The sequence below is a fragment of the Homo sapiens genome, chromosome 7 (assembly GCF_000001405.40).
Source record: "Homo sapiens chromosome 7, GRCh38.p14 Primary Assembly".
NCBI classification, from domain to species: Eukaryota; Metazoa; Chordata; class Mammalia; order Primates; family Hominidae; genus Homo; species Homo sapiens.
Genome location: NC_000007.14, coordinates 141,501,463 through 141,520,557, shown reverse-complemented (window position 1 = coordinate 141,520,557; position 19,095 = coordinate 141,501,463). Strand labels below are relative to the sequence as shown.

The window sequence follows — 19,095 nt, the reverse complement described above, 5'->3', positions numbered from 1 at the left end:
TGGCTGAGATCCCTACACACTCCGTATATGCAAATCAGGACATGGATTCCTTGCCAGAGAGACTTCAGATGGACCCTTCTTTCCCTTTGAGTACAGAAAACAGTGGTTTCTTGATCCTTTTCAATCCATAGGATGGTTTCTCAAGTCTTTCTTGGAGCAGTTATTCTGAGAAATGGTTCCCAAGGGATGGAAACAAGTGAGTTCTGAGAAGTCACGTCTCCTTTTGTTTGTTAGGGGGCTGTCTAGACATGACTCTTCTGACACCCAGCTCCAAGCCTGGTCCACTCAGTCAGGTAATAGAGACCTGACACTGCCAGGTCCACTCAGCTGTCCCTCCTACAACCCAGTTTGGAGGAACATGCATTCTTCCTAATATTTTCACACCAGGACAATTTTGTTAAAAGATTTTGTGGTTATGTGGTTGTATAATCGAATCTAGCCACTTGCTTTCACGAGGATGTCTCCAACTCTACAATATGTATCATAGCACCCCAGCTACCTAGCATTTTGAAGGCAGAGATTTGGTCTCATGCATCCTCTGTCACATTGCACACAAAGGCAGGTGATCACATGTGCTCCTTGGACTCATGCAAGGAGCCACGCAGATTCACATGTGCAGAAATGTTTGTTGCCGCCGTTCACTCAGATGTGCCAAGAAAATGTAGCTTTTTAATTTCTCATAACTGATCTGCTCTTCATCAGCAGCTCCCATCCCACTGGGTAACTACTAAGAGAAAGAAAAGTAATACTTGCTGAGTGTATGGTTTCATAGCTTATTTGGCCACAGATAGTCTTGCTTCTAGATCACTCAGACTCTTTCTGGTTTCAAGTTCAGTTGTTCAGATTTCCTCCACAGCTGGTTCATTTCCAGGATGGTGCATGGGAAGGTAGAGAGTCTTCAGGAGTTGGTAGTGGCAGAGATGGGGGACCCGGAACCTTTGTTCAATCATCTCACTCACAATATGGATTGAACCCCTACTATGTACCAGGTGCATTCTGGGTGCCGAATATACAGCAGTGAACAAAACAAAGTCCTCACCCTCTGGCTTCATGGATCTTATGTTCTTCTGGATGTGCAATGGATAATAAATAGACTAATAATTTGCCATATGTCGGGGAGATGAGCAATATAAGGCGTGGAGAGGCAGGCTGAGGGAAACAGGGCGTGCCGGGTGAGACCACCGTTTTCTAGGTAGTGTGGTCAGGGAAGTCCCCATTAATATGAAGCCATCTGAAGCTAAGTCCCAAAGAAAGTGAAGGTCTGAATATGGGTAAGGGCCTTCCAGGCATGGAGACTATCAAGTACAAAAGCCCTCGGGCAAGAGCATGTGTGATGTTAGAGGAAGAGCAAGGAGGGCCAGCTGGCTGGACTGGAGCAGGTGAACAGGAGAGGCAGTGGACAGACAGACTGTGGTGGGCCTGGCGGACCATGGGAAGGAGTTTTGCTTTTACTCTAAATGAGATGAGAAGACATTGGAGGATTCCACACCAAGTAAATTTTAGGGGTCTCACTATAGCTGCTGTGTGGAGAATAGACTGTAGAGAGCAAGAGTGGGAGAAGAAAGGGGAGTTAGGAGGCAACTGCAAAATTCTCAGGTAGATGACAAGGGCACAGGCCAGGGTAGCAGCACCGGGGGTGGAGTAGGCAAGGTTTACTAATGGCAGGGGAGAAAAAGGGATCACACATGCTTCATGGGATTTCACTGAGCAACTAGAAGACTGATGTTTCCATAAAAAAAAAGGGAAAGACTGAGAGGGAGCAGTTTTCTAGGGAGGGAAGAGGTCAAGGAGTTCAGTTTTGGATTTTTTTTTTTTTTTTTGAGACGGAGTCTCACTTTGTCGCCCAGGTTGGAGTGCAGTGGCGCCATCTCGGCTCACTGCAACCTGAACCTCCCAGGTTCAAGCAATTCTCCTGCCTCAGCCTCCCGAGTAGCTGGGACTACAGGCATGTGCCAGCATGCCCAACTAATTTTTGTATTTTTAATAGAGATGGGTTTTCACCATTTTAGCCAGGCTGGTCTCAAACTCCTGACCTCAGGGAATCCATTAGCCTCAGCCTCCCAAAGTGCTGGAATTACAGGCGTGAGCTACCACACCCAGCTCAGTTTTGGATACTTTTATTTACGTATGTATGTATTTATTTATTTATTTATTTTATTTATTTTTGAGATGGAGTCTCACTCTGTCACCCAGGCTGGAGTGCAGTGGCATGATCTCGGCTCACTACAACCTCTGCTTCCCAGGTTCAAGCAATTCTCCTGCCTCAGCCTCCTGAGTAGCTGAGACTACAGGTGCACACAACCACGCCTGGCTAATTTTTACATTTTTAGTAGAGAGGGGGTTTCACCATGTTGGTCAGGCTGGTCTTGAACTCCTGGCCTCAGGTGATCCACCCGCCTTGGCTTCCCAAAGTGCTTGGATTACAGGCATGAGCCACCATGCCCAGCCGATACTTTTATTTTGTAAGTGGAAATGGTGGGGAAGGAACTGCCTTTAACAATCTAGTGTTCAAGGAAGATCTAGGCCTAGAGACATGCACGTGTTTAAAGCTGTGACATTGGATTATATCACTAAGAGAGGGAGTTAGGAAGTCCAGGGTTCATATACAAAGAAGAATAAAGGATATAAAGGAATAAAGGATCATCTGCAAAAAGGACTGAGAAGTGTGGCAGGGCCCAGCCATTGGCCCTGGTCTCAAAGTCTCTGTCCTTAACAGTCCCTTTTTCCTGACCACGAACCTCTGTGGGCCCCCAGCCCTCTCAGCATCTTCTCTGGGTCTGGTAAGATCATCTGAGTCCTCTGCTCTTCCTGAGCCAGCAGTGGAGAGCTGGGAGTGCTGCCCCAGGCTCCCTCATCCAGCCACTTCCTCAGCGGATGCCTTATGACTGCTTCTTGTCACCCTGAAGAAGTGGGACTTTAGTTGGGAGCTGGGAGCTTCCTCTAAGGTATGCCCAGGTACGTGTGACACGAGCCCACCTTTCACTTTAACATTTGCAGGTTCCCCACTTCTCTCCCCTGCTCTTCACCTACGGGCATGCATGCATGCTCGCACATGAGCATGCATACACACACACGCACATGTACCTGAGTGTCTGTCCCTAGGAATGAGAACCTATGTGATCTCTTGTCCCTGCTGTGTCTCTTCGTATCCCTCATATGCTTCTTTCTAGCACCCAATGAGATGAGTCTTCTCTCTGACATGGACCGTCCTTTCCTAAAATTTATCCATCTAGCCAGCCAGGCAGGGCTCTCGATGCATTAAAGGAAGAGTTCTAGAATTTAGAAATCCCTGCTGTTTTTCCACAAAGCCTAGCTTTCAAGAGAAAGCTCCTGATTAAGTGGTCAAGTAAGTGAGATTTGACACCACAAGGTGCTCGGTTGCCTCTTAGTTATCCATGGCTCTCACCTTCTCCTTCTCTGGGGCAGTAGACTCCTTGATTCAGACTTAGAGGGGAAAAGCTGAAAAGAATATGGGTTAAGGGAGAAATGGGCTAGTTGCGGTGGCTCATGCCTGTAATCGCAGCACTTTGAGAGGCCAAGGCAGGTGGAGTGCTTGAGGCCAGGAGTTCAAGACCAGCCTGGGCAAGATTGCAAAACCCCCCTCTACTAAAAATACAAAAAATTAGCTGGGCGTGGTGGTGCACACCTGTAATCCCAACTACTCAGGAGGCTGAGGCATGAGAATTGTTTGAACTAGGGAGGCGGAGGTTGCAGTGAGCCAAGATCATGCCACTGCACTCCAGCCTGGGCAACAGAGTGAGACTCTGTCTCAAAAAAAAAAAAAAAAAAAGGTTGGGGGGGGTGCAGAAATGAAACTGTATCATTTTAATATTTTAATAATCAAAATATGATTCTCTTCCCAACTCAACCGTCTGTACCCAGATAACAATCCCCTTTTCCCTTTCACTTTCTACATATCTAAAAGAGAAGGTAAAGAGGGAAATTCTGAATGGAAAACTTTAGAGGCCACTGGCTGGGTAAGTAGGGCAGAGACCAAGTGAGGGCTGAGAAGAAAGGGAGCAGAGAGTGGACAGCAGGAGAGGGTAGATGAAGTCATTGGACAGAGAATCTGAGCTGCAAATGGAAGGCAAGGAGGAGAATCTCAGAAGCTTCCTCCTTGGTCTTCACCAGGTTGGGAATGGGTTGCCGAAGGGGAGAGGGCATATTTTTAGCATGCAAGTTCCCCAACCCTGCAGTCAAGTTCAGGGAGAGGGCTGGAGAGCTCAGTTCCATGGCTTGCAGAGGGAAGCTGCAGGGAGTTGCTACTGAGCCCAACTGAGATTTAGCACATTGATTTTTGCCTTTATTTTTTTCTAGGTGCTGCGGTTTGTGATTGAGTGGGGAGGTTGGGGAGGACAGCCAAGGCTTTTAAAGGTGCCAATACTCTAGCAAGAAATAAGGAAGAGTGGCTGCTAAAAGAGCTGAGATTTTCCATTCTACCCTCCTGTGCCTCATTTTTCTTTTCCTCTTTCCACTTTCTTGGCTGAGCCTGCTTGTCAGTGAGATGATCAACAGCTGTGGGAAGCACAGAGTAGTAGGAAGAGGGCTCCGAGCAGGAGTCGGGACATTTGTCCTGAGTGGGGCTGATGGCATAAACCTGACCTTGGCCGCCCAGCTCCTTGGCCCAGGTCCACCTTCCTTCATTCACTGTTTCACTCTCGTATCCACCGAATACCTATGCAGCGTCTACTATGGAGTGTCTACTGAAGTCAAGCACTAGGCATCCCATTGTGACAAAATAGACATGGTCCTGACCTCAAGGGGCTTACACTCTGGGAAGATAGGTAACATTGAATAAATGGCAAGAAACCAATATGTGATTACAGATCATTGATAAGTGCTGCAAAGGAAAACAAGAGGACTCTATGAAGGAGAATTACCAGGTAGAGGCTGCCTACTTTAGATAGTGGTCAGGGATGGTTTCTCTGAGAAGAGACATTTAAGCTAGAACCTGAAGGATGACATAAAGCAGAGGTGAGACCCGAATCACTACCCACAGGGATGGTGTGCCAAGGAAAACAAGAGACAATGAGGAAATGAGCTGGGACTCCTCATATCCAATAGAACAGATTTAGAGCGATGTTCCATATTTTTGGTTATGCTTATTCATTAACATCCACCTGCAAGGTTGCATCTATCAAAGGAAATACAGTATCTGAATATACAATGCCCTTGACATGTGCACATTAAGCTACATAGTGGTACATGTCTTCTAGTTTTTAGTAGAACTTTCTAAATTAAAAGAATTTATGAATGATGTTATAAATGAGGAAGGCCAGGCGTGGTGACTCATGCCTATAATCCCAGCACTTTAGGGGGCCGAGGCTGGTGGATCACCTGAGGTCAGGAGTTTGAGACCAGCCTGGCCAACATGGTGAAACCCCATCTCTACTAAAAATACAAAAAATAAGCCGGGCGTGGTGGTGTGTGCCTGTAGTCCAAGCTACTCGGGAGGCTGAGACACGAGAATTGCTTGAACCCGGGAGGCAGAGGTTGCAGTAAGCTGAGATCATGCCACTGCACTCTAACCTGGGCCACAGAGTAAGACTCTGTCTCCAAAAAATAAAAATAAAAAAATACTTTAAATAAAAAGTCAAGAAGCCAAGATGCTTGTGGAATTAACTGTCTTCCTCATTTTCATTGGGGAAAGCCTCACATTTTTCATAAAAAATAGGAAACTGAGTGTGTTCCAAGATCTTCCTTATACAATGGTGACATTCTCATGTTGTAGCATTTGAGCTATCACCACCAAAGGTCATTAAATCCATGCTGTATATGTTTGTGACTATGGCCTCAAATATTCTTCTTTCCTTTTTTTTTCTTCCCAGTCTCTACCTCTATGTCCATCATTCAATAAATATTTAGTCAATCCTAATGTGTGCCAGGCAGCATTCTTGCTGGGAACACAGCATTAAACAAAACAGAACAAAACAGACTAAGTTCCTCTTCTCATGAAGCAGGGGCACAGATCATGGAAACCACTATCAGAACTTGGGATTTCATTTATGGTAAGATGGCAATCATTTGGAGAGTTTGAATAATGTAATCTGATTTCCATCTTAAAATAAAAATGTTGTGACTGCAAATAGATAGTAGGGGAGCAAGGCTGGAAGCAGGGAGGGCAATTAGGAGACCTTTGTACTTCCATAGGGAAGAGAAGTTTGTAGCTTGGAACAAGGTGGCACAGCCTGATGGTAGAGGTAGCTGATTTCTGGACATATTTTGATGTAGGGCATACAGAATTTGCTAATGGACTTAATGTGGAGCATGAGAGAAAGAGATGACTTAAGACAAGCTTTATGGTTTCTGGTCCAAGAAATTGGAAAAATAGAATAAATGTTTATTAAGATGGGAGGGGCTTTGAGAGGAAGTTTTGGATTTGCTAGATTTGGAAGGCCTGTATTAAATTAAATAAGCAGGAGGCCATTTGCCTGAGGCTGTTTCTCTACTTTGACTCACTATGTAGCAAACTGCAAGCTAACTCAGCCAACTGAGTTAGCCAACTGATCAGACCATGTCCAAATAATGCAAACACCTAGCTGTAACCAATCAAGCTATTTCTGTACTCCACTTCCATTTTCTGTCTATAAGTACTCGCTGCCCACTTTGCAGGGCAGTCTCCAAACCTCTTCTAGTTCTGAGTGCTGCCCAACTCATGAATCATTCTTTGCTCAAATAAACTCTGTTAAATTTAATTTGTCAAAAGTTTTTCTGTTAACACTGATTAGGCAACCACATGGAGATGTTGACAAGATGGCAAACCATATGTGTGCCTGGAACTTAACTAACACCTACCTCACTCATAATTTTATCCAGTTCCTTCTTGGCCAGCCCAAAGTCTTTTCTATCTTGTCATGACACTTCATGATGCCTTTGAATCTGGGAACGTCTATCCTCACTCCACACTTCTGAGTAGGTACAATTTCTTCTGAGTTCTCATGCTCCTCTTTCCTCCTAAATCAAAAGATGAACAGGTAGTTAGATGGTACCCTATGTTTCAAAAATGACCATTTAAATGCCCTTCCCACCTTACTTGCAATATCAACTTTTTTCCAGTATTCTAAGCTAAAGCAAAAAGTCTTGCTTAAGTTGAATTGCAGTTAAATAAACTAACTCTCAGGGCTTTGTTCTATTTCATGCTTACCAAGCAAGCCTCTGACAACAAGGTTTTTTATATACCTTGGTATGGGAAATGGGTATTTGGAACAGTGGAAACAAGTTATTTTTCCCCTGTAAAGATATACTAATGCTAACTTATAAACAGTCTCTAAAGCACAGTGTCTCAACACAATAACATTTTATTTCTTGTCCACATGATAGTCCAATGTGAGTCAGGCATCTCTCCTGGTGGCTGTCTTCCATGTGGTGACTTATGTATCCAGGATCCTTCTACTGTGTTTCTCCTCCATTGCGAAGTCCTTCACTTCCAGCACCTGAGACATTTTTTGGGTATATCTACAAGTGGCATATATCACTTCTGCCCACATTCACCTGGGTAGAACTCAATCACATTGTTTCACCTAACTGCAAGTGAGGCTGTGGAATATAGTCTCCCTATGTGCCCAAGCAGAAGAAACAGGATTGGTGAGCATCTAGCCCATCTCTACCACTAACAGTTTATCCCCCCTAATAAATCAATACACTGATGATCTAGTTTTGTCTTTGTTCTCTTGCGAATGTTATAGTGTGACTCTACAATGTGTGATTGCTCCTGGTGAATCAAAAGGATAAAGCTGCTGATTCTGCAATTTGATAACCCAACCATGCTGACCTCAAAGTGTAGTCAATCCATGAAGTTCCTCCCACCACAGCTCATCCTGAACACTGCCCACCTGAGTCATCAAGAAAGGTTTAAGTACATTATCTGTGCTCTGTTTAATATGTCCGTGAAGTGTGTCCTAAATTTAGTTATTTCTAGGACCTCTTTCTAGTTTGCAAGTAAGCCAGGTTCTACTGCTGTCAAGTGTTACTCATGGCTAACTGAGGAAAAGGGGTTCAAAAACATTGAGAAGACGAAAAGGAGGGAGAAGGCTGGGTTAATGGGGACGGAGGTAAGGGGTGAGACCCCGGCTAAACAGTGAAGATAAAAACAGACATGTAAATGAGAGAACCGGAAGAGAAGGTAATGGTGAAAGTCAATACGGGAAGGAAAGGGGTTGTAGGGGACAAACACTGAGAGGGCAAGAACTTGGAGTAGGTGAAACTAAGGTGAGCGAGGAGGCTGAAGAGAGGTCAGCTGCAGCGGGAAAGAGGGAAGGGCCCTTTAAGAGACACATCAAGCCGCAGGTGTGGGCCACGAGGCTGGCGCAGGGCTGTCGCTTCACGCGCCGCAGACTCATCCAGAAGCGCCTTGGGAGCTGCGGAGCCCTAGAGCCTCCATCCGGGCAGCAAAGCAGCTCACGTGTCCCACCCGGGAAGGGCAGGAGTGGGCGAGGAATGGTGGAGGGAAAGGAGGGAAAGCGGAGAAACAGGAGGGAGGGGGAAAGCTGCCGCTGCAGAAAAGAAACGAGTAAGCCCCTTTGTGCTTGGCCTGCGAGGTGTTTCCTTCCCGAGCAGACTTGAAGCTGTCACCTCTCAGTCTGGGTTTGGAATAAATACACTCGCCCACCGAGAGATGAGGCGGCGCCTGGCCGCACCTGGGAGGTACCTGGTCGCACCTGGAAGTGCCTGGTCTCCCCTGGCAGGTACCTGGCCGCTCCTTTCCTGGAGCCATGGGCACGGGCCCCTCCCGGACTTTCTACTGCTCTGCAGGAGGATCCGATGACTGTGACCGACTGGGACACCGACCCAGGAATGCCTGGCGGGGTGGAGGGTCTGGAGACTGCAATTGAGGTACTCAAGAGAGGGCTGCCGGCGTGAGGAGCAGCAATGTCCACGGAATCGGCCATAAAGGATCAAAGGGGCCAGGCAGGCCCCTCTTTCTGGTTTTCTCCTCCGAACATTGGTCTCTGCGGTTTTCTTGGCCACATTTTCCAGCCGGCTGGCTAGTAGCAGACAGATCATGAGCAGAACAGGTCGCACCACTGGAGAGAACTCACGTGCTGGCTAGGGAGGGCACCTGAGGCCCGGTGGGGATCGGGGAGGGGGGTCCTGGAGGTTATTCCCTCCTTAGGGAAGTTTCCCAAAGCTGGGGAAGCTGTGGCCTTGTACCTCACTGAATGGTGTCATATTCCACTCCATCACTGCAGCCTGGATTCTCCTCTCCTCTCGTCCCCCCTCCCCTTCTCTCAGCTTCTCTCTTCTCTCTTTCTCTCTTGTTCTTCTTTCTGGGCCACATCTGAGACTTCTCTTGGGCCCACGGATGTTACCCAGTATACAGAGCACTTAATATAAAGGGCATCACTAAAGCCACCTCAATTGAAGGTTTCTTTCCTCAGGCATCTTGGATGACTTTCTTCTGTTACACTAAGTCTCCTCACTGCCAAACTCCATCCCAAGCCTGTGGGTTAAAAATGCACAATTTACAGCTGTTTAAAGCAACTTCTCCGTTGGAACTGCTGATAATACATTGCACAGTTCTAAAATAATGGAGCTGACGTTCCAAGCTCCCTAGAAAAACCACTTCATCACTTCAGTTACACATCAACAGTGAAGTAATGGTCCAATCTTGTTTCACTCAAATATCTAAGCATGGATTGAATGCCCTTTCCATGTACCCCCAGTTGTCACCCTTCTTTGTGGCTCTTTGGGCTGGGTTTCCTGAAGCTGGGGGAAGGCATGGGCAGTTGGTGTCGTCCCTGCTTCTACCTCTGTCTGCCTCTTGGAAGCTTTGGAAACCAAGGGTTTTGGGTTGCCTGAGTTGCCTGGATCCACCAAGCACTTTCTGAGCTCATTCTTTTTTTTTCTTTTTTTTTTTTTTTTTTTTTTTTTTTGAGACGGAGTTTCACTCTTGTTGCCCAGGCTGGAGTGCAACAGTGCGTTCTTGGCTCACCGCAACCTCCGCCTCTGGGGTTCAAGGGATTCTCCTGCCTCAGTCTCCTGAGTAGCTGGGATTACAGGCATGCACCACCACACTTGGCTAATTTTGTATTTTTAATAGAGATGGGGTTTCTCCATGTTGATCAGGCTGGTCTTGAACTCCCGACCTCAGATAATCCGCCTGCCTCGCCCTCCCAAAGTGCTGGGATTACAGGCATGAGCCACCGCGCCCGGCCCCTGAGCTCCATTCTTATAGATCTCTTCTTCCTTTTAGTTCTTGCTCTGTTTCCTTCTTGCTCATAGGGTCTCCTGGCCCTTCCTTTACTCTAATTCCACTTATTTTAGCAACTCTGTAGCCTGCTTTCTGGAACAACTACACAAGGGAGTTATCTTATCTTCTCACAGCTCCAGTCCCTGGCCTTGGCAATACTGGGCTTACCTGGATGCTGCAGGGCCCAACCCTGTCACCACATTACCTTGACCTACAGTGTCTAGCAGGCTCCCGGAAGCTAGCATCCTCTGTTGCCAAGTCCCAGCTGGGTTCTGCTTATAAATGAACATGCTTAAGAAGTTGAGTCTATTTGCTATTCCAGAGACACAGCCTAATTTCCACCTTAGTCTCAGTTTCTACTCAGGATACTGCCACTCTGAAGGAAGGCTGTGGAGCTGAGCTCCCAAAATGACTGTCTTTAGATAATAGAGTGCCTTGTAGACTCCCAGAGCTTGACTTGACCTTAGACATCCTCTAGTCCAGTGGTTCCCAAAGGACATGCGGAGGATTAATAGAGCTGAAACATGACAGTGAGAGGAAACCAACAGTGTTTCCGAGCATCTGTAACATTCAGGATAGGTAGACCAGGAAAATGGTTCCATGCCCAGCTGATCATCAGGGTCACAGGGGAGCTGGGTTGCCAAGTTTCTGCTCAGTGTACCTTTCCCTTCTCTACTGAGGTTCTGTGAAATGTTTTGTTTTGTTTTGTTTTGTTTTTGAGAAGGAATCTCTGTCTTGTTGCTCAGGCTGGAGTGCAGTGGTACAATCTCGGCTCACTGCAACCTCCACCTCCCAGGTTCATGCGATTCTGCTACCTCAGCCTCCTGAGTAGCTGGGATTACAGGCGCCCGCCACCATGCCCAGCTAATTTTTCTCCTTTTAGTAGAGACGGGGTTTTGCCATGTTGGCCAGGCTGGTCTCGAACTCCTGACCTCAGGTGATCCTCCTGCCTCGGCCTCCCAAAGTGCTGGGATTACATGCATGAGCCACCGTGCCTGGCCTCTAAAATGTTAATTATTTCTTCAAATTCTTTGTTCACTTGTTCTTCTGAAATTTTCTATCCTCCCTACTACTTTTTTGGTGGTTTTCTCCTTCCTCTTCACTTACTCTATTTCCTAAAATTCTCTACTTTATATTTACCATGTATCTTCATATTTATTCTCACTGATGCTATCTTCTAAAGAACATACCATCCAGATAAGTTCTCCCTCTCTCCCATGCTCAATTGGCACACAATGGCATGTCTATGAATGTACACATGTAATAGGATGTTTAATACCAGTCTTCCTGAGGTCTACTGTTTCCACCAAATCCCTAAAGATAGAGAACAATGGAATAGATGTCATGTCCCGCATATACTAGAAGGTGTTGAACCACATGCAAAATACCTCACGAGCTTAAGAAATCAGTGTTGCTGCAGTTAGTCCATCACTTGCCATTGTCCCACGGAAGGAGTCATCCATATGCTTAGAGTTTTGATGCTGATATGGTTTGGCTGTGTCCCCACCAAATCTCAACTTGAATTGTGTCTCCCAGAATTCCCACATGTTGTGGGAGGGACCCAGGGGGAGGTAATTAAATCATGGGGCCAGTCTTTCCTGTGCGATTCTCATGATAGTGAATAAGTCTCATGAGATCTGATGGGTTTATCAGGGGTTTCCACTTTTGCTTCTTCCTCATTTACTCTTGCTGCCACCATGTAAGAAGTGCCTTTCGCCTCCCGCCATGATTCTGAGGCCTCCCCAGCCATGTGGAACTGTAAGTCCAATTAAACCTTTTTGTTACCAGTTTTGGGTATGTCTTTATCAGCAGGGTGAAAACGGACTAATACAGTAAATTGGTACCAGTAGAGTGGGACACTGCTGAAAAGATACCCGAAAATGTGGAAGTGACTTTGGAACTGGGTAACAGGCAGAGGTTGGAACAGTTTGGAGGGCTCAGAGGAAGACAGGAAAATGTGGGAAAGTTTGGGAATTTCCTAGAGACTTGCTGAATGGCTTTGCCTAAAATGCTGATAGTGATATGGACAATAAGATCCAGGCTGAGGTGGTCTCAGATGGAGTGAGGAACTTCTTGGTAACTGGAGTAAAGGTGACTCTTGTTATGTTTTAGCAAAGAGACTGCTAAAGCTAGAGCATTTTGCCCCTGCCCTAGAGATTTGTGGAATTTTGAACTTGAGAAAGATGATTTAGGGTGTCTGGCAGAAGAAGTTTCTAAGCAGCAAAGCATTCAAGAGGTGACTTGGGTACTGTTAAAGGTGTTCAGTTTTGTAAGGGAAGCAGAGCATTAAAGTTCAGAAAATTTGCAGCCTGACTAAGTGATAAAAAAGGAAAACCCATTTTCTGGGGAGAAATTCAAGCGGGCTGCAGAAATTTGCATAAGTAGCAAGGAGCATCATGTTAATGCCCAAGATCATGGGGAAAATGTCTCTAGGCCATGTCAGACCTTCACGGCAGCCCTTCCCATCATAGGCCCAGAGGCCCAGGAGCAAAAAATGGTTTCGTGGGCCAGATCCAGTGTGCCTGTGCTGTGTGCAACCTAGGGACTTGGTGCCCTGTGTCCCAGCTGCTTCAGCCATGGCTGAAAGGGGCCAACATACAGCTTGGGCTGTGGCCTCAGAGAATGGAAGCTCCAAGCCTTGGCAGCTTCCATGTGGTGTTGAGCCTGTGGGTGCACAGAAGTCAATAATTGAGATTTGGGCCAGGCGCGGTGGCGCATGCCTGTAATCCCAGCACTTTGGGAGGCTGAGGCAGGAGGATCACCTGAGGTCAGGAGTCAAGACCAGCCTGGAAAACATGGTAAAACCCTATCTCTACTAAAAATATAAAATTAGCTGGGCATGGTGATGCACACCTGTAATCCCAGTTACTCAGGAGGCTGAGGCAGGAGCATCATTTGAACCCGGGTGGCAGAGGTTGCAGTGAGCCAAGATCGTGCCACTGCCCTCCAGCCTGAGCAACAAGAGTGAAACTCCATCTAAAAAAAAAAGAGTTGAGGTTTGGGAACCTAGATTTCAGAAGATGTATGGAAACGCCTGGATGCCCAAGTGAAAGTTTGTTGCAGGGGCAGAGCCCTCATAGAGAACCTCTGCTAGGGCAGTGCAGAAGGGAAACGCGGGGTTGGAGCCCCCACACAGAGTTGCTACTGGGGTACCACCTAGTGGAGCTGTAAGAAGAGGGCCACTGTTCTCCAGACCCCAGAATAGTAGATGCACCGACAGCTTGCACGGTGCACCTAGAAAAGCTGCAGACACTCAATGCCAGCCCATGAAAGCAGCTGGGAGGGAGGCTGTACCCTGCAAAGCCAAAGGGGTAGAGCCGCCCAAGTCCATGGTAACCCACCTCTTGTATCAGTGTTGCCTGGATGTGAGACATGGAGTCAAAGGAGATCATTTTGGAGCTTTAAAATTTGATTGCCCCCTTGGATTTCAGACTTGCATGGGCCCTGTAACACCCTTTGTTTTGGCCAATTTCTCCCATTTGGAAAGGCTGTATTTACCCAATACCTGTACCCCTATTGTATCTAGGAAGTAATTAGCTTGCTTTTGATTTTACAGGCTCATAGGCGGAAGGGACTTGCCTTGTCTCAGATGAGACTTTGGACTGTGGACTTTTGGGTTAATGCTGAAATGAGTCAAGACTTTGGAGGACTGTTGGGAAGGCATGATTGGTTTTGAAATGTGAGGACATAAGATTTGGGAGGGGCCAAGTGAGGAATGGTATGGTTTGGCTGTGTCCCCATCCAAATCTCAACTTGAATTGTATCTCCCAGAATTCCCATGTGCTGTAGGAGGGATCGAGAGGGAGGTAATTAAATCATGGCGGCCGGTCTTCCCTGTGCTATTCTCATGATAGTGAATAAGTCTCACAAGATCTGATGGGTTTATCAGGGGTTTCTCCTTTTGCTTCTTCCTCATTTTCTCTTGCCGTCACCATGTAAGAAGTGCCTTTTGCCTCCTGCCATGATTCTGAGGCCTCCCAGCCATGTGGAACTGTAAGTCCAATTAAACTTCTTTTTGTTACCAGTTTTGGGTGCGTATTTATTAGCAGTGTGAAAACAAAATAATGCAGATGCTTTGCACTCCTCTCAAATCAGCAGGCATTGCTGGGATCACTCAGAGAGCCTGACATGTCTCTTAGGGAATATTAGGAACTAGTATCTAATACTTGCTTGAAAATATAAAAGAAAAAGGCTTGAAGTGGCAGAGCAGAGATTGAGAGGCAGAGATAGAGACACAGAGAACTGCCCTGGGAGCAATGTGCACTTGCACGTGTACCTGTAGAGCAATGATGTTTCCTGGTGGACCATATGTGTGATATGCTGGATGGAGATGACCCAGAGTCATCTGCAAAGGGACCTGGCCCATAACCTCTGTCTGGTGGGATGAACTGAACCAGCAGAGGGGTATACCCTTGCAGTGGAGAGCCTGAGTGTTGGAAGCTGACACAGCCATTGTGGGGAGTCAGCACCTGGTCTACTACGACACCATTGGGAAGCTCTTGAGGGCCATCTCAGAGAAACTACAGAGATAAAGTTTGAGTGAAGAGTGTACTTGGAAATTCTGCAAGGCCAGAGGCCACCAACTGCACAGCAGCCAGAAACTGTACCCTTTCCTGAATCCCTTTATCCATCCTCATCAGGGCCAGAAATAGCAGCTAGCAAGTAGTTAAGAGCCAGTAGAGAAAGAAAAGCAGCCATCTGCCCCAGTCCTGTTCGGCAGGCAGTACAGAGTTGAGGGAGCAGCAAAGCTTCAGATGGGATTAAGTATTATCTGGGACTGGGCATATTAACTATAAGAAACTTACTCTCATGACTAACAGGATGAGACAAATCTGAAGACCTGCCCAGGACTTGCCAGGCCCAGGGCAAAAACTAGCCTCCAGAGCAGATTGAAAGGGACACAAGGGGAGCTGAGTTCAGTGTAGCGAGGACTCATAATGGCACACAGATAATAATGAGCAGGGGAGCAGATATGAAAACATTCACTGACCTACAATTAAAATAAATGGGAAAGATGTGGACTTTCTATTTTGACTTGGTCATTCTCACTGCAGTCTTTACTATGACCAGAGGTTGGGCTTACAGCCCGACAGTGGTGGATGCTTTTTAGCTTCCAGGTACTTGATTGCCATTAGGTGCCCTGCCACTGATGAAATGGGAGGTAACTTGGTTATGGATTTATAATCCAAACCACTAGGCTTTCTATAGAGTGTTGAATAGCATGCTTTTCTGCTCTGCTATATTTTTGCATAAAAATACAAATCTTCAATAAAACCAGATCAGCATAAACTAGTACTAGCAGAACATAAACTATTGTTTTAAATCATGAATTATCTATTTCTGTAAGGAAATAGGAATATCTAGATATTTTCTTTCTAGTCCAGAGATTCACATATGCCTAAAAAAATATGTTAGGACCTTGTTAAAATACAGGCCTAGGCCCTGTCCACAGCGATTCCAGGTTGATAGTCTTGGGACAGGACTCAGGAATCTGCATTTTGTTAAGCACTCAAAGTGACTCTGATGTCTTTTGCAATTTAAGAAAGATTGTTTTGTTGGGTACAATATACACTACCCAGGTGATGGGTGCATTAAAGCGTCAGACTTCACCACTATACAATTCATCCACATAACCAAAACCACTTGTACCCCAAAAGCTATTGAAATAAAAAAGAAAGATTGTTGTAATTATTAGTGATGATATTACCACTCTTTGTTCAGTCTAACCCTTTGCTTTTACCTTGTACTTAAGTGGGACTAGTTTACCTTGAATTTTTTAGGTTAACATTAGAACATTTTGAGGAGCATTCAGCTTTAGCAAATTTATTAGACATCAAACCTACGAACACTTCTCTCATATAGGAAACTAATAAATTTGTTCTATTTACCTGACTTCAAGTTTATTAGAATACATATTTGCGTATTTTTTTGTGGCTCCTTTTCTTCAGGTGACAGATATACATAAAATGACCAGTTAAATTGTAGCTTCACCATGGTTTCCCTGCCAGAACTACTGTACCAATCAATAACAAACAAAACTGAAGCGTATTCACTAAACACTTTCCAAAGTACAGATCACACACACGGGATTAAATACAAGTCTGCCTCTGATATATGTACTTTAAAAGCTTGGGGTTTAAAAATCTAAGCTATCCCAGTTCATTTAATTGGAATTTAACAAGATTTTTAAACAGATACAGTAATTTCTTCACACACTCAGAGGTCATCAGAAACAGGTGTGATTAGAATAGTAAAAATCAGGAGGGAGGAAATCTATCTAGTTCAAGGATTTAATCAGAGGCTCCAGTCAATGACCTATAAGGTCTTTTCTTCTAAAATTCTGCCATTTATTTTTCTCTATTAAATTTCTTCCTGGCTCTTGCCCATCATTCCAGCCTGTTGAGAACAGTTGAAGTCTGGGTTTTGTCTTCTATCATATTAGCTATTCCCCTAACTTCCAAATTGATACACATACGTATGAAGAGGTTCTTTCAATCTGGTGATAAAAAACCCAGACCAGGACAGATCTGTAATTTTACCACAGTGCAAATAGACCTGTTCTACAAGCAACACATACATACATTGCCCCAATTTGCACATGAAACCTCAATATATAGCTATAATCACACAGAAAAAGACAGCAGAAAGGTAGCAAATATTTTATTCCCTATAGTTGGTCAGAGACACATAATAGGTGTGAGTTAGGGTTTATTAGAATACAAATTTGCCTATTTTTTCATGGCTCCTTTTCTTCAGGTGACAGAAATGTGCCCCCACATTGAGGGTTGGGGCATCAGGATGGGACTGGAAGAAGAGTCTACGAAGGACCTCAGGACATTCATAATAATCATGAACAAGTACATTGAGTTGACTTTATTTAACAGTGGCCATGCTTCCTTCACTATGCTAACACTGTGTATGCATTATCTCATTCATCCCCACTACTCCTTATAGGAGAGAACTAGTGGCTACCAGCATAGGCTTTGGCACCAAATGGCTTGGATTTGAATCTTGACTCTGGTACTTACTCGTTGAGGCCTTGGGAAAGCTACTCTCTGCTTGAAAAGCCTTATTTGAAAATGACAATAGTAATAGCACTACTTGTGGGCTTGTGCAATTAGGTAGGGACTCTAGCTGCTTTAACAGATGAACCCTTGAATCTTCCTGGCTTAGTATAATAAAGGTTGACTCCACGTGTAAAATAGTCCAAATGAGTATTCAATGGGCAACCTTCCACATGGAAATTCAGTTCATGTTCCTTCCATTTTGTGGTTCTGCTAACTGCCAGATAGAGGAAGATCATCTGGAGAAGAGCTGGGTGGATGAGGGGAGGGGTTATGGATCAGACCTAAAGGCAATACACTTTGCACAATACCCCGGACCCACTTATGTCAAAGCAGGCTGAGAAATGAAGTCTCTGTGTCTAGGAGGAAAAAGAAATGAATTTGGTCTCTTCCATACTTGTTGGTAGATTAAACATTAAATTCCTTGGAACAGTACCTAGCACCCAGTAAGTGCTCAATAAATGATAGTGATTATTACCATTTATGTTGTGCCAGTAATGGCTGTCTTTTTATCTTTTTATCTTTTTTTTTTTTTAGACTGAGTTTCGCTCTTGTTGCCCAGGCTGGAGTGCAATGGCACGCTCTCAGCTCACTGCAACCTCCGCCTCCCGGGTTCAAGCGATTTTCCTGCCTCAGCCTCCCGAATAGCTGGGATTACAGGCATGCACTACCATGCCCAGCTAATTTTTTATGTTTAGTAGATACGGGGTTTCTTCATATTGGTCAGGCTGGTCTCGAACTCCCTACCTCAGGTGATCAGCTGCCTTTGCCTCCCAAAGTGCTGGGATTACAGGCGTGAGCCACCACGCCCAGCCAGCTGTATTTCTTATATGTCTTCCTGATGCCTATGACCAGCTGTTTTAACCTTTCTCTTTAGAGTTCCCTCGGATTTAGCCCGTTGGACTGGTGATGCCTGGGGGATTCTCTTCATAATTATTGGAAACCTCCAGGCATTAAAGCTGGCTCTGTTCTATGGACACCATCCCCGGCCTCTTTTCTGAACCTTAGTAGTCACTGGAACACTAGCAGGATATGAGAGTGGGGACAAGACTGGGAGAGGTGGAAAGGAGAGAGATAAGGCGTTCAAAGAGATGGTGTTTTGCTTATTTTTGTAAAACATGGGAGATATTCGAGCATGCTTTTAAGTATTAGGGAGGGCAGTGGATGCACAGCTGTAAGTACTGGAAAGGGGATAACAGATGAAGCAAGGTCTCAGTTTGGGGGAAGATGGGAAGGGTTCGGATCAAGAGCACAGGTGGACAGACCAACTCAGAACAGAAAATGGATCATCTTCTCTCAGCTTTGAAGGTACAAGGTGAGGACACGTGCAAGCCCAGGTGATTCCTTGAGTATAGGAGTGGAAAGTGAAAGGAGTTTACATCTGGAGCCTAGTTTTCCTCTGCTAAGTAGCAGGTGAGATTTTATCTGGGGACAGAGAGAGAGAGAGAGAGAGAGAGCATGAGAGACTGATTCTAAGGAATTGACTCACATAATTGTGGAGGCTGGGGCAAGTCCAAAAACCTGCAGGGTAACCTGGCAGGCTGGAGACCCATAGAAGGGTTAATGTTGCGACTTGAGTCCAGAGGCAATCTAAGGCAGAATTCCCTTCTCCTTCTGGGGACTTCACTCTGTTTTCAAGTAAGCATTTCTTCAACTGATTAAATGAGGCCCACCTGTATTACAGAGGGTAATTTGTTTTACTCAAAGTCTACTGATTTAAATATTAACCTCATCTTTAAAAAAATATTTTTACAGCAACATTCAGACTGGTGTTTGACCAAATATCTGGGCACCATCGCTTAGCCAAGTTGACACATAAAATTAGACCATCACAGTGTATTA

The 19,095-nt window shown here is 45.4% G+C and overlaps 1 protein-coding gene and 1 long non-coding RNA gene across 7 annotated transcripts in view; one reads left to right on the top strand and one right to left on the bottom strand.

Moving 5' to 3' along the window:
* Window positions 1-19,095, top strand: part of AGK-DT (AGK divergent transcript) — a 51,205-nt gene that overhangs the window by 30,787 nt on the left and 1,323 nt on the right. For 4 of the 6 annotated variants that reach the window (NR_183407.1, NR_183402.1, NR_183405.1 and 1 more), the window contains one exon: window positions 7,321-7,653. This is a non-coding gene — a long non-coding RNA (AGK divergent transcript). Of the gene's footprint in view, window positions 1-5,828; window positions 6,009-7,320; window positions 7,654-7,685; window positions 7,850-16,945; window positions 17,047-18,553; window positions 18,667-19,095 lie in introns of those variants that run through there. The other 2 variants (NR_183408.1, NR_183403.1) reach the window with 2 other exon arrangements.
* The window catches only part of TMEM178B (transmembrane protein 178B), a 437,233-nt gene continuing 427,399 nt past the window's right edge, over window positions 9,262-19,095 (bottom strand). The window contains exon 5 of the transcript XR_001744505.2: window positions 9,262-9,439. The gene's annotated coding sequence lies outside the window, so the exon portion shown is untranslated. The remainder of the gene's footprint in view (window positions 9,440-19,095) is intronic.